Raw genomic sequence first — 14859 nt, forward strand, 5'->3', positions numbered from 1 at the left:
TCCAGGAAACATAGTTAGCAACCCTGACACAAAACAACTAAAGAGTAATTCACCTGTATGAGGAAAATACACATATATTTTATTTTGTAAAATATGTTAAATAAAAAATGAGCAGTTATCCTTACCTGCACACTTGTAAACACTGACTGATGAAATCATAAGTAGATTCAGCCAGTCCCAATTCAGCAATTGTCTTCCTCATCCTCATCTACATTTAATGAGAGTTAACTGTGAGTCAGGACTAAGTGACTGACATATACACTATCATTCAATCCAAACAGCAAAACCATGAGGCCAGGATTGCTATTATCCACATTTTCACATGTTGAAGAATTTGACCAAGCTCTCATAGCTTGTGGTGTCAAGGGCCAAGGTGCAAAGCCAGGTCTGGACTCCAAAAACCTTGCATGCTCTTCACTAACATGAAGAGGCCCCAGATAGGCACTTTGTATTTTTTCTGTATTTTCTAAGTGTTTTATTTGTATTAATCACTTTCATAATATTAAGAAAATTTTAATTTGGAAGCCAAAAAAAAAGAAATAGGTAGTAGGGGGAGAGTTGGGTTTTTTTTGTTTTTGTTTTGTTTTGTTTTTGTGTTTTTTTTTTTGAGACAGAGTCTCGCTCTGCCTCCCAGGCCGGAGTGCAGTGGCGTGATCTCGGCTCACTGCAAGCTCCGCCTCCCGGGATCATGCCATTCTCCTGCCTCAGCCTCCCAAGTAGCTGGGACTACAGGCGCCCGCCACCACGCCTGGCTAATTTTTTGTATTTTTAGTAGAGATAGGGTTTCACCGTGTTAGCCAGGATGGTCTCAATCTCCTGACCTCATGATCCGCCTACCTCGGCCTCCCAAAGAGAGTTGGTTTCTTAAGACCAAGAAGAACAGGCAAGGCAGGGATGCCCTAGGGTGGCCTCTCCAGCCTGGGGTCACCATGAAGATGGCCTCATTACAAAGGCAAAGCTCAGACAAAATTCTTCACTCCAACAGGGTCTGTGCTCCTCAGTCAGCCAGGTCAATCCCATCCTTCAGCTTCTTCCCTTCCTGTCAATTGATAAAATTAGGAAAGCTTATTAGCCTTGATGTTACCAAACACTGTCATATAATTATACTGAGAGGAGAGAAATCTGCCAAAACAAAGCATGTCTAAAGTTGATGAATCAGCACATAGCAGTATATGCATATTATTTAGGAATGTGAATAGAAGTATTAGCAAAATAGATAATTTAAAACTGTTCTCTCTGGGGAAATATCAATGGGGGAAGGCTAAGCAGCTGGGACATAAGAGATTGCTGTATTTTTACAAGCATTTTAGCACTATTTGGCTTTTCAAATGAAGTGCCAATATTTTTTTGATTTGTTAAAAAAAAAAAAGTAGTAATAATAAAACCTACCCTTCTTAGTGTAATCCTTTAGCTTAATGAACTCCAGTAGGCTCAGACAGAAGGTGGTTTGATGTGGTTTGTGGAGCCAGGAGATCTGAGACACAGAAGATGGGAGGCGCCTGGTGTTGTGGAAGAGCCATGGGTCAGAAAACCTGGATTCTGACCTTGGCTCTGCTGCTCCGTGCTGTATGGCCTTGGGAAAGGTGCTTAACCACTCTGAGCCTTTCTACCCCTAAGGGCAGGCACTCAGACCCCATACAAACCAATGAGAGGATTAAATAACATAGATCCCAACCCAACAATGAAAACAAAGCTCATGGTGAGGATGCAAGGTGTGGGGACCTGCGAAGCCTGGGTCAGGTGGGTGAGAGCCATGGAAAGACAGAGCCCTAGATAGAAAGGAACAGGCCCCTGGTCCCTCCACCAGGCCCTGAGCCCAAGCCCAAGGCTTTAGACATGAGCTGAACTCCCCCCACCTTCTCCATGCTACTCCCAAGTTCCCTGAGACCATGGAGTACATTTCAGGATTCTGTGAACTCGAGAGAGGCAAGTGTCCCAGACTTAAGTCTACGTCCCTCTGTGAGGCTCACCCAGACCCATGAGCTCACCTAACTGGCACAAAGTCTTTCCTCAATTCTGCCCAGTTAAAAAAAAAAATCTGCAAGTTAATTGGCTGTATCGGACCCTCTTTAACAAAGTCCCTCCTCAATTTTGCTCAGTTAAAAAAATATAAATAAGATAACTTTAAATTACTTGGCCTTAGAAACAAACGTGGTAAAAACCTTAGGCTCAGGAGAGAAACTCCAGGGCGGAATGTGGCTCACCACTATGTTAAACTTTGTCACAGGTCTGGTCACAGCTGTCATTTTAGGACAAGCACATCCAGGCTCTCCAGAAACCAGGCCAGCCTGGGGAAATTTCTTCCAGGCTCTGAGCATTTAGAAGAGCCCACAGCTTTTGCTCACAGCTCAAGGACCAGGCGTCGACTGCCTGGTTGCCAAGGGTGCTTTTTCTCCCTCCTCTCCCTGGAATCATAGCCTGTACCAGCTTGGGGTTGGGGAGAGGTCTGGTAGGTTCATGCATCACTGCCTCCCTCTTTCTTTCCCTCCATCACCTGTGACTAAAGAGATCCACACCCCATCGAACAGCACTATTCTTGCTGGTATGTCATGCAGTGAAGAGGTAGAAGGATGCTTTGTGAAGCAGCCCTGCACAGAGAGAACCCAAAACAAGACTCCAGACCAGGCCCAAGGCACCTCCACCAATACTGATACACAATGGGGGTGCTAGTATAAAATCTCCCAAAGGTCCCAAGCAATACGGACTACTCTCTGCATAGCCAGCCTACAGATTCATTCCCCCCAAAATAAAATTTATTCTTTGGCGCTTCATACTTGGCAAGGGTTAATCATTATGTCAGTTCATACAATGATTAAATTAATAAAATACATCTGGATCAGAGAAACCCTCACAGACCAACTTTGATTCCATAAGCACAAAGTAAAGGACCTGAAACGGGGTGGGGATGCAGTAAAGGAGAAGGTAAGGGGAGTTAATTAGCCGGTGATTAAATGTCATTTTCCCTGAGTCAAGTGATTCTCATTTTATTCAAGTGCTCTGGAAGTGGTGAAGGTTTTTTGTTTTTTGTTTTTTGTCATTTTAGGGAATTCTTTTTTGTCCAACAAATAATTCTCAGTTGTCTGCTTTTAAAAGTACTGTGTAATTTCTAAATTACTATTTTTCAAAATCAGGCTAACACTTCCAACTCCCTCTGGTTGGGGTTTTCTGAATCATCTACAGAAAGATGGCTGCTCTGCTGAGAGCCTGCCTGGGAAACTGGTTTGTATATCCTGTGACCCAAAGCATCCACTTCCTCAAAGGTGTAGCCAGGAGGCTCAGGATATGAAGCTAGGCACCTGCCCATTTCCTTGGGAGTAAAGCTGATGGTGTAGGTGGTCTGGCTTTCCACAGGGACATTTCCTCGAGGGCCAGACCAATGAGGCTTACAGCTTTTGGTATTGATAGGCAGGTGGGGCACATAGTGGGCCCGAGTGGTGGTCAGGCAGTCCAGGGGCTCGGTGGGCAAGTCCAGCTGGGGAACGGGCTTGACTGGCTCTGTGCGCATGCTGGACCACTGCTTGTAGTCATCCTTGGTGGTGGAAGAGCCTTCAAAGCGACCGCACTTCTTAATCTGAAGTGCAGGTCGGCAGGACTGAGCTGGGGCACCCTTAGGGCATGTGTAATGGGCCTGCACTGTTGTCAGAAGATCCATCCTGTCTTCGGGAGGGACGTAGGTGATGGGAGCTTTGGAGAACATCCGGGGCATTGGCCAAGCTTGGTACTTATCTCGAAACTCAGTGGTGTTACAGAAAGGCATGTCTAGCCCAGGAGGCCTGGCTAGAGGTTTCAAGCTCTTGGCAGGCTCCCCCATCAGGCCCCGGTAGGATTGTTTTTGAGTGGTAAGGCTTTCAAAGGGGATTTCACAGGGCCTGAACTTCTCTGCTTCATGCACAAAGCGCTTCTCCACGGGGTGGGCCACATAGCTCATCTTGTAGTTAGTCACATCCTCCAAGGGGATGTTACAGAGCTTTGGCATGGCCAGAGGTTTACAGCTTATGGTCTTCACAAGGCCTTTTATGGGGTAATCGTCCTGGTGTGTGGTTCTGTTATCAAACCTGACTGATGCCGGCTGGTATTTGTGTTCCAGACGAAGTGGCTCTCGCCTTGGTTGGTTCCAAGGCAAATAATCAGCTGAAATTAAAGCAGAAGAGGTAATTAATAATAAATCAAGTCAACCAACTTGCATATATTCTACAGAGCCCCAAGGTCTTAAGGCAGTCTCCGATGAAGTGTTCTTTGAGACAAAGAAAGAACAGAGCACATCCCTGCTACCACTTCATTCAAACACCTGATGTGTCAACTTTATGGTACTTGCAGGCAGAAGAGACAAATCTACAGGAGCTCTCATCACACCCCACAATACTGCATGCAGGGATCTTAGAGGGTCCATGGTCGTGAGAGGATCCAGGGAATCCATTCCTGCAGAAAAGTTCAACCACTAGCTTACTCTGACAACACTTCCTTTCTTCTGTGGAGAAGGTACTTTCTCTGAATCAGCATGGAAGGAGTGAGAAGATGCATGTGATGTAGTGAGATAGAAAATTCACAACCCACCACTGGTGGGCCACCAGCCAGATGAACCAGGCCTACCTGGTCGTCTGTGGAGTGACAGCCCACTGTGTCCCTGTAATCCTCACATGTAATCCACATAAATCAAATATGCTGCTCCAAGGGAATAGGGCATTGTATTGGGTGGTGAGAGAACAGTGGCTGCCACTTATATAAAACTTATTACATAACAGGCAGTATTCTAAGTGCTGTATATATTAACTCACTTAATCTTCAGACTGTCCTAATAAGGTGGGTACTATTAATGCCAGTTTTATAGATGCAGAAACAGATATACAGAAAATGAGGGAATTTGTCCCAGCTCACTTGGCTAGAAGTGGAAAAGCACAAATGCAAATTCAGACCCAGAGCCCACGATCTGACCCACTCTACTCTCTGGTTCTAACAGTTAGGGAATACCAACTACATGTCGGTCAATTGTGCTCAAGTCTTTCCATACATGATCTTGTTTCATCTTCACAATAACCCTTTGTGATGGGTATGATTCTCTCCATTCTACAGATTTCTAAATACAAGGCTCAGAGGAGCTAAGAAACTTGCCCAAAAGTCACATGGCTAGTGAGGTGAGTTGGAATTTAAACCGTATTGTTGTCTCCAAAGCCATGTTCTTCTGATACCTCATATCACACTTAGGGGCATTTTATTTCCAGATGGAGTAAAGGTTAAAGAAAAAAATAATCAGAGGGAAGATTTTCAGGAGGAAAAGAACTTCAGAATGTTTGAAGAATGAGAAGAACTGGCCAATCTAGATGTCCATCTCCAGAGGAACCTCTGCTGTGGGGCTGGAATGGCCAACATAATGGGAGGCCTGGACCCCAAGGAAATCTGCAGTAGAGATGGCCTCCATGCATCTTGAGGACCAGATACTGTCTTCAGGCAGCACTGTAAGCCTTTGAAACTGGCTTTGCCACACAGACCATCAGGGCCAGCACACCAAGACTGAAAGTCTAGGTGAGAAAAATGGGATGACAAACCATGTGATTCAACTGCCTTGGCACTGCTGGAACTTTTTTTTTTTTATTTGAGATGGAGTTTCACTCTTGTTGCCCAGGCTGGAGTGCAATGGCACAATCTCAGCTCACCGCAACCTCCACCTCCCAGGTTCAAGCGATTCTCCTGCCTCAGCCTCCCTAGTAGCTGGGATTACAGGCATGTGCCACCGCACCCGGCTAATTTTGTATTTTTAGTAGAGACGGTGTTTCTCCGTGTTGGTCAGGCTGGTCTCGAACTCCCGACCTCAGGTAATCCGCCCACCTCGGCCTCCCAAAGTGCTGGGATCACAGGCGTGAGCCACCACGCCCGGCCTACTGCTGGCATTCTTTCAAAATACTTGACTAACATCCAAGACCTAGGTTGCCCCATCAGGCCCATAAATTACCAGATTTAAATTAGCCCTAGTGAGCCCTCTGAATCTATAGGGAATTCTCTTGCTTACTGCTGTACGAAAGGTTAGAAAAAAAAGCTGCTTCCCAGGAGCCTTGGGTATACACACCAACACTAGTGGAGTCCGCAGGCACAATTTGTAACAGTTTTATTGAAATCTAATTTGCATAATAAAAGGTACCATCTGAAGTACACAATTTAGTGACTTTTATGGAGTTGTATATCCATCACCAAAATCAAGTTATAGAGTATTTGCATCATGCCAAAAATACCAATTATCTTCATTTGTAGTCAGTCTTTACTCCCATCTCCAGCCCCAGGCAACCATTAATTTGCTCTTGGTCTCTATAACTGCGCATTTTTTGGACATTTCATATAAATAGAATCACCCAATATGTAGCGTTTTGCATCTGGCTTCTTTCACTTAGTGTAATGTAATTGAGGTTCATCCATAATGTAGCCTGTATCAGTAGTTCACCTTTTTATTGTTGAATAATATTATATGATACCAAATTTTGTTTATCATTCACCAATTGATGGACATTTTGAGTTGTTTCTACTCCTTGGCTATTATAAAGAAATTCTGCTATGAGCCTTTGTGAAGAAGTCTGTGTGTGAACATATATTTTCATTTCTCTTGGGTAGATAATAAAGTGAAATTGCTAGGTTGTATAGAAAAATCTATCTTTAGCTTTTTAAAAAAGATACTGCCAAATGTTCTCAAAGTGGAGAAGTAGATGTGCCATTTTACATCCCACCAGCAACGTATAAACATTCTCATTTCTCCACATCCTTGTCAATATTTGTTATCATCTGTGTTTTTAAATTATTATAGACATTCCAATGGGTATTTAGTAGTATCTTGCAGTGTCATTTACATTTCTCTAATGACTAATGATGTTGAGTATCTCTGCATGCACTTATCCGCTCTTCATGTGCTTTCATTGGTAAAATATTGAGATGTTTTGCCCATTTTAAAATTAGATTGTCTTCTTATTGAGTTATAGAATTCTTTGCATGTTCTAAATACAAATCTTACACCAGGTATGTGATTTACAAATTTTTTTCCAAGTCTATCACTTCTCTTTTCATTTTCTTATTATTTTAACAAAACACCCACCTGACACCTGACTCTTTTCATTTCTTAATGGTGTCTTTCTAAGTGCCCAAAGGTTTTGAATTGCGATAAAGTCCTATTTATATCTTTAATAAATCATGCTTTTGATGCCATGTCTAAATTCTTTGCCTGTCCCAAGATATCATAGATTTTTCTCCCATGTTTTATTTTGAAACATTTATAGTTTTAGCTATTACATTTAGGTTTCTGACTCTTTTGAGTTTGGATGCGGTAACTTCGTCTTTTTGCATGTGGATATCCAACTGTCCCAGCACCATTCATCAAAAAGACTATCCTCTCCCACACTGAAGTGCCTAGGCATCTTTGTGAGAAGTTAACGACAATAGACATAAAGGCTTATTTCTGTACTCTCAACTTAGTTGCATTGGTCATTATACTTGTCTTTGTGTCAGTATAACTGTCTCAATTGCTGTAGCTTTATAATAAAGTTTTGTAATCAGGAAGTGTAAGTTTTACAACTTAGTTCTTATTTTTCAAAAATACTTTCAGCTATTCTGGTTTATTTGGATTTCATATATAAAACCTAAAATTACTTTGCCAAGTTCTAAAAAGGAAAAGGAGCCTTCTGAGATTTTGATAGGAATTGCATTGAATCTACAGATCAATTTGGGACAACTTTACCTTAATAGTATTGAACCTTCCAATCCATGAACACAGAATGTCCATCATTTTTGTTCAGATTTTAATTTCTCCCAGCAATCGTTGGTAGCTTTCAGCATGCAAGACTTACACTTGCTTTTTTAAAATTTTATTCCAAGATTTTATTAATTTTGAGGCTATTAAAAAGAGAACAGTTTTCTTGACTCCATTTTGATTGTCCATGCTAGAATACAGAAACAACTGATTTTTATATATTGTTCAGTACTGACATCTCGCTGAACTCATGTATTAGTTCTGGTAATTTTTTGGATTCCTTGGTGTTATCTGCATACAGGATCATGTTGTCTGAGAATAAAGACAGCTTCGCATTTTCCTTTTGAGCCTAGATACATTTACTTGTCTGCTTGCTTTTCTTGCATTATTGCACTAGCTAGAACCTCCAATACAATATTGAGTGGAAGTGGTGAAAGCTGACATCCTAGCCTTGTTCTCAATCTTAGGGGGAAGCCATTTAGTCTTTCACATTAAGTATGATGTTTTAGAAGTACAGATTTTTTTTGTGAATGCCCTTTATCAGGCTGAGGAAGTTTCCTTCTAGTCCTAAGCTTGTTGAGAGCTTTTATGAGTGTTGAACTTTGTCAAATGCTTTCTATCAACCAAGTGGCTTTTTTCTGTTACTTTATTAATGTGGCATATTAATTGATTTTCTGATGTTACACCAACTTTGAATTCCCAGAATAAATCTCATAGTTTTATAAATATTGATTCTGTAATTGTCTTTTAAATGAATTAAAAGAAAAAAATATCTTTTTAATGATTTAAGAAGAAAACAAAGAAAAGTATATATTTACCTAATTACATTTACCAGTATGCTTTACTACTTTTTGTGTAGATTTGTGCTGCCATCTGGTATCATTCCCTTTTAGCCTGAAGGATTTCCTTTAGTACTTCTTGCAAGCTAGGTACCTGTAACTTCTCTCCATCCTTATCTGGGAATGTATTTTGCCTTCATTATTGAATCATAATATCACTAGATATGAAATTCTTGAAGGATAGACTTTTTTCTTTCAAAACTGTGAATATGCAACCAACTGCCTTCAGTCCTCCATTGTTTCTGAAGAGAACTTAGCCATTAATAATGTCATTTTTGGGCCGGGCACGGTGGCTCACGCCTGTAATCCCAGCACTTTGGGAGGCCAAGGTGGGCTGATCACGAGGTCAGGAGATCAAGACCATCCTGGCCAACATGGTGAAACCCTGTCTCTACTAAAAATACAACAAATTAGCCAGGCGTAGTGGCGGGCGCCTGTAGTCCCAGCTACTAGGGAGGCTGAGGCAGGAGAATGGTGTGAACCCGGGAGGCGGAGCTTGCAGTGAGCCGAGATTGCAGCCACTGCACTCCAGCCTGAGTGACAGAGCGAGACTCCGTCTCAAAAATAATAATAATAATAATAATAATGTCATTTTTCTATATGTGATGAGTCATTTCTCTTTTGCCTCCTTCCAAATCTTTGTTTTTGGCTTTCAACAATTTGACTATGTTATGAATAGATGTGGATCTCTTTGTACTTATTCTATTTGGATTGTGCCTCTTGAATGTATTAATAAACATTTTTCATAAAATTTGGCAACTTTCAGCCATTAATCTATCATTTTTCTGCCCCCTTCTTCTCCTTTTGGGGCCATGATTATGAGTATGTTAGTACACTTTATGGTATTCCACGAGTCTGGTTTGGACCTTTCTCTTAATTTTTTTCTGTTCTTCAGATTGGGAATCTCTATTGAACTATCCACATTTTTGCTGATTCTTATGCCAGCTCAAATCTGCTGTTGAGCCCCTCTAACGAATTTTTTATTTTAGTTATTGCCCTTCCAACTCCAGAGTTTTCATTTGCCTCTTTATTATTTCCTGTTACTGATACTCTCTATTTGATGAGCAATTGTTGTCATACTTTTATTTCTTTAAATATGCTTTCCTGTTATTCTTTGACCATATTTATAATAGCTACTTTGAAATATTTGTCTGCGATGTCCAACATCTGGGCTCCTGCAGAGATACTTTCTGTTGACTGCTTTTTCCCCCACCATGCATGGGTCATACTTCCCTTTTTCACATCTTACAATTTTTTTGTGTAAAACACAACACTTTAGATAATATGCTGCAGCAACTCTGGATTCTGATCCCCATTGGGAGTTGGTTTTACTTGTGTTTAGCTTACCTGCACTAATTCCATAGAGTCTTATCTTCCCTGCAGTGTATGGCTACCGATATTTTTGTTCATTTTTTTCTTTTTAATTTGTTTTTGTTTTTAATTTGCTTGTTTGTTTTGAGATGGTGTCTTGCTCTTGTTGCCCAGACTGGAGTGCAGTGGCACGATCTCAGCTCACTGCAACCTCCGCCTTCCCGGGTTCAAGCGATTCTCCTGCCTCAGCCTCCTGAGTGGCTGGGATTACAGGCGTCCACCACCACACCCAGATAATTTATTGTTTTCTTTTTTTGTATTTTTACAAAAAAATACAAAACCTCCTGACCCCATGATCTGCGCACCTGGGCCTCGCAAAGTGCTAGGATTATAGACGTGAGCCACCTTGCCTGACTTCTTAAGGGTCACTCTGTCAGCATAGTTTAGTGGTCAGCCAATGATTGGTCAGAAGTTAAACTTAAGAACTTTAAGCCAGTAAGGCATTCACACTTTGCCAATGGAGCTGTGTGTGGGTTAGGAAAAACACATACAAAGATCAGGCAGTTTATAAGTCTCATTTGGCTTTTACTTCCTATTGGGCTTTCTCATGCCTCCCCTACACAAGCACTAGGCCTAACTAGGGATGATTAGGGATGATAAGTTGATAGATGGGCTCCTCTCTGATTGCCCTTGAGCCTGCATGTAGCCTTGCCCATGTGCACAGCCTTCCAGACTACTCAACCAGGGATGATGAGTTGATAGATGGGTTTCTTTCTGATTGCCCTTTAGTCTGCACACAGTCTTGCCCATATGCACAGCCTTCCCGACCACCAGGAATACATATGAGCTTATCAAGACCCACTGTGTCTGTCTCATTCTCTGAAGCTCCCTTCTTACATTCCTAGCTGGTTTGCTGGTCTGTTGCTTGCCACAACTAGCACTGCAGCCTCAGACTAACTCAGAAGTTGTCTTCCCTGATTTCTTGCCATTAAGCTCACTATTGTTTTTATTGAAACTCCTGGGGATGCACTCTATTCCCAATCAAGTCAGGCCCCACTGACAGCACAGCTGCTTGTTTCCACAGCCTAGCCTGCTCCGGCAGAGCCACTACATAAATGAAACAGCAGGGGTGGGGATGGGGTGATGGAAGCAGCCCCAGAATAAAACATCACAGACTCCTAGTGTTAATAACCAAGGTGCCACAGTTTCTTTAATAAATGCTTCTCAATTTTTTTGCATACCAGTGGCTGATTTCCAGAGTCTAGAAATGGTTGATTTTCACTGTTTTGTCCAGTTTTGTCATTGCTTTTTGGGAAGAGGATTTGCCAAGCTCCTTACTCCTCATCTCCAGAAGTCCTGATACCACCCCCTCATCCACCAGCACGCTCTTAAGTTTATTTTAGGCTGATAATACTACCAACTATTTATCTAAAATTGGCTTCATTTTAATTGAAAATCTAATCTTTCTCCAAGAGCCATTAACGGCTCTATCAGCATCTTGAAAGCATTAGGGGGCCTTGGAGGGAACCATCTTGCTGAATATAAACCACATGTTTCCTGCCCACCCCGGCCCCCAGACTCCTGGCCTTGCTGAAACGGAGGCATCTACCTGTAGATGCCTACGCACTCCCTCAAGGTACTTGGGGGTGGGGAGGACAGGGCTTTTCTGGCTCTCTTCTGTGATGGATGAAGTGTTAACAAAACAGGTTTCTAAGCTCAAAGTTGCCTCATGTGATTTCTGATACCCAACAATATAGTTGAAACCACATTATTATCCAAGCCTCCCGACTTCCTCCACCCAGCATTTATTACCAAAAACCTCTACAGGACCCTGAAAAACCTCAGAATTTCACATGACAAACTATTCATATGCCAGTAAAGCCCTTCAGGGCCAGAGTGTCATGTGGGTAATTGGCAAGAACTTCTTTAAAAGGGATTCCATTCAATAATGTGCCTTTAAAAAAACAGCTAAACCTAAAGCTGAGCATCAAGTAATTACACTCTCAATCTTTCCAATTGCACAGTGTTTTGAAAATGTCACAAATTACAACCAAATGCCGCTAAAGCATATTTTATTGGTGGTTTTCTGGACCCCAGTAAAGGTGCTGGCCATAGAGTGAAAAGGGGAAAAAAAGATTTCATATTTTTTCTGTGGAACAAATGTAAGCAGAGCATATAGACAAAATCTAGATGGCACCCACTGAAACATGTATTTAATAACCTTGGTCTTTGGTTTCTCTTTGGGTGGTAGAGGAGGAAGAGAATCAACGTATGGTCATAAAACATGAAGGTTGTTATGGAAAAGACTTAAGAAAGCAGCAAATTTTCACAAGACACAAACATGTCACCCAAGGGGTGATACACCAAGAGATAAGGGCGTGACCCCTCATAAATGCATGGGGTTATTAAGGACTGACCCAACCAAATGGTAAGTGGCATGGGCCTTCTCAATCCTCACTTCTGCTCCTGGCCAGGACCCACAGGGTAATAGCCTGGGTGGGGATTTGTGTAGATATGCCAAACTCTGTCACCTGGAGCCCTTGTAAACAATGGTTCAGAACCATTCATCCATTGAGTCCCTCACTTGACACACTTTGTTGTGTCATTCCCTGTGTTCGATGCTGGGAATACAGATGTTGGGCATTCAAGGCACAGTTTGGGAAGCCCTTCTATCACAGGTGAGTGACAGAACAAACAAACCACTTCAATTAATAGAATAAAAGTATTTGCTATAGTCTGAATGTGCCCCAAAATTCATGTGCTGAAACTTAATCCCCAATACGGTGGTATTGGGAGGTGAGGCCTTTTGGGAAATGATTGCATCATGCAGGCTCCACCTTCATGAATGGATTAGCACTGCTATACAATGACTGGAGGGAGCTAGCCAAGGCCCTTTTTTCCTTCTGGCTTTCACCACATGAGGACACAGCAACAAGGCACCATCTTGGAAGCAGAGAGCAGACCCTCACTGGACACCAAACCTATCAGCGCCTTGATCTTGAACTTCCCAGCCTTCAGAACTGCGAGAAATAAATGTCTTATTTATAAATTACTCACTCTCAAGTATTTTTGTTACAGCAGCACAAATGAACTAAGAAAGTAGTATTCAAAAAAAAACCTCATAAGACACACATGTTGCAAACTGGTACCCATAGGTTAATCTAACTATAAGTGTTTCCTTTAGCTACATACTGATTTGTTTTAAAATCGGAATTGCAGAGGAAAACTATGAACTCCAACCTCAAATGCACATGTTCCAAGAACAAAAACCCTGTCCATCTATGCATGCCTGGTTCTGAGCAGTCCAGTTCAGACTTGACTGGTGTTCATTTATTAACTCTGTTTAAGTAGGCAAGCAGTTAAGAGGTACCAGAAGTTTAAGGAAACTGAGGAAGAAAATAGGATTTTCTCAATTTTAACTTTGTCAGTAGGGAAGTCAGCCATTATATTAGTCAGTTCTTGCACTGCTATAAAGAAATGCCTGAGATTGGGTAATTTATAAAGAAAAGCAGTTGAATTGGCTCATGGTTCTGCAGGATGTACAGGAAGCATGGTAGCATCTGTTTCTGGGGAGGCCTCAGGGAGTTTTACTCATGGTGGAAGGCAAAGTGCAATAAGGCATCCTACACGGCAGGAGCAGGACAGAGAGCGCGAGTCGGGAGGTGGGGAGGTGCCAAACGCTTCTAAACAAGCAGATCTCAGGGGAACTCACTCATTTTACAGTACTAAGGGGGCAGGGGGGTGCTAAACCATCAAAAACCGCCCCCATTATACAATCACCTCTCACCAGGCCCCACCTCCAACACTGAGGATTACAATTCAACATGAGATTTCATGGGGGCAGAGACCCAAACCCTGTCAGCCATGATTCAGTTTAAGCTGTGGAATACTCACTCTTCTGTAGTTTGAAGAGGACAGCCTGAGATGTAGCTGTATGGACAAAGGGAGAGACAGGGGAAAATGGCAGTGAAAGAGATTAAACAAAGAGTACTGCTGGGGTGTGGTGGGGTGCATGCGTGCGTGCGTGTGTGTGTGTGTGTGTGTGTGTGTGTGTGTATGTGTGTGTGTGTTGAGCGGTAAGTAGTCTGCTGGGGAGAAGTAGGGAGGACTTCTCTTTAAATGCTACATATAGACCTCCTCCATCCTTGCCAACCCCCAAGACAAGCAAGGAGCATTTTTCACTCGCAGACCTCTCCCTGCACCTAGGGCAAGGTGGAAGAGAGGGAACTGAACTGACAGGCAGGAGCTCTGAAGAGTCTCTCCCTATACTAAGATTCATAAACCAACAGGGCCCACAAAGACAGTGTAGAGGAGAGGCGAGTCCGCCATCGGATATGCCATATCACAGTCCCTTATTCCCTCCACCCATCGTGGAAAGCGCTTACTGCAGTTTCATTCCTCTATCCCACTAGCTCAATGTCTGTGCTGCCTTATTTCTGGTCTTCTTGTAAACACTGGATTAAAAAGGAGAAGAATGCATTCAGTAGAGGCAAAAGTGCCCCCCAACACCCTACCCATGGTCATACACCTGGTTGTATGGACTCCTGTGTGGTGCCTGCTGTGAGAGGGTAATTGGGAAAGAAAAAGACAAACAGATCCCTGCCCCTTGGAGGTTACAGCCTGGCCATTAAAGGAAGCATTAAAAGTACACAATGCATGATAAGACAGGGGAGTGCAAGGCACCCATATAGCATCCAGCCTGACATGGCGGAAGGGCTCAGAATGTGATCTTTCAGCTGCTAGCTGAAAGGATAAGTGCTAGATTAAGGAAGCAGAAGGATTCTATATAGAAGGCATCACATGTGCTAAACAAATGCCCTGAAGCAGAAAAGAAATGTAGGAAGGGACCTGAAAGAAGGCCCTGAGGCTGGAGCAGAGGGGCTTAGAAGACACCAGGACTTCCAAGGCATCAGAGGAGGCAGAAAAGGTTTGGGTTTTTATCGTAATAGGATCATATGATTTGATAAAATAATATGATTTGATAAA

General features: G+C 42.5%; 1 protein-coding gene across 10 annotated transcripts in view; it reads right to left on the reverse strand.

The window, feature by feature from the left end:
* Positions 1–2725: 2725 nt before the first annotated feature.
* The window catches only part of SAXO1 (stabilizer of axonemal microtubules 1), a 121690-nt gene continuing 109556 nt past the window's right edge, over positions 2726–14859 (reverse strand). For all 10 annotated transcript variants that reach the window (NM_001287049.2, XM_024447428.2, XM_011517745.3 and 7 more), the window contains one exon: positions 2726–4131. In NM_001287049.2, the coding sequence (NP_001273978.1) occupies positions 3128–4131 (1004 nt within the window). In that variant the 3' untranslated portion in view covers positions 2726–3127. The remainder of the gene's footprint in view (positions 4132–14859) is intronic.

The sequence above is a fragment of the Homo sapiens genome, chromosome 9 (genome assembly GCF_000001405.40).
Source record: "Homo sapiens chromosome 9, GRCh38.p14 Primary Assembly".
Taxonomy (NCBI): domain Eukaryota; kingdom Metazoa; phylum Chordata; class Mammalia; order Primates; family Hominidae; genus Homo; species Homo sapiens.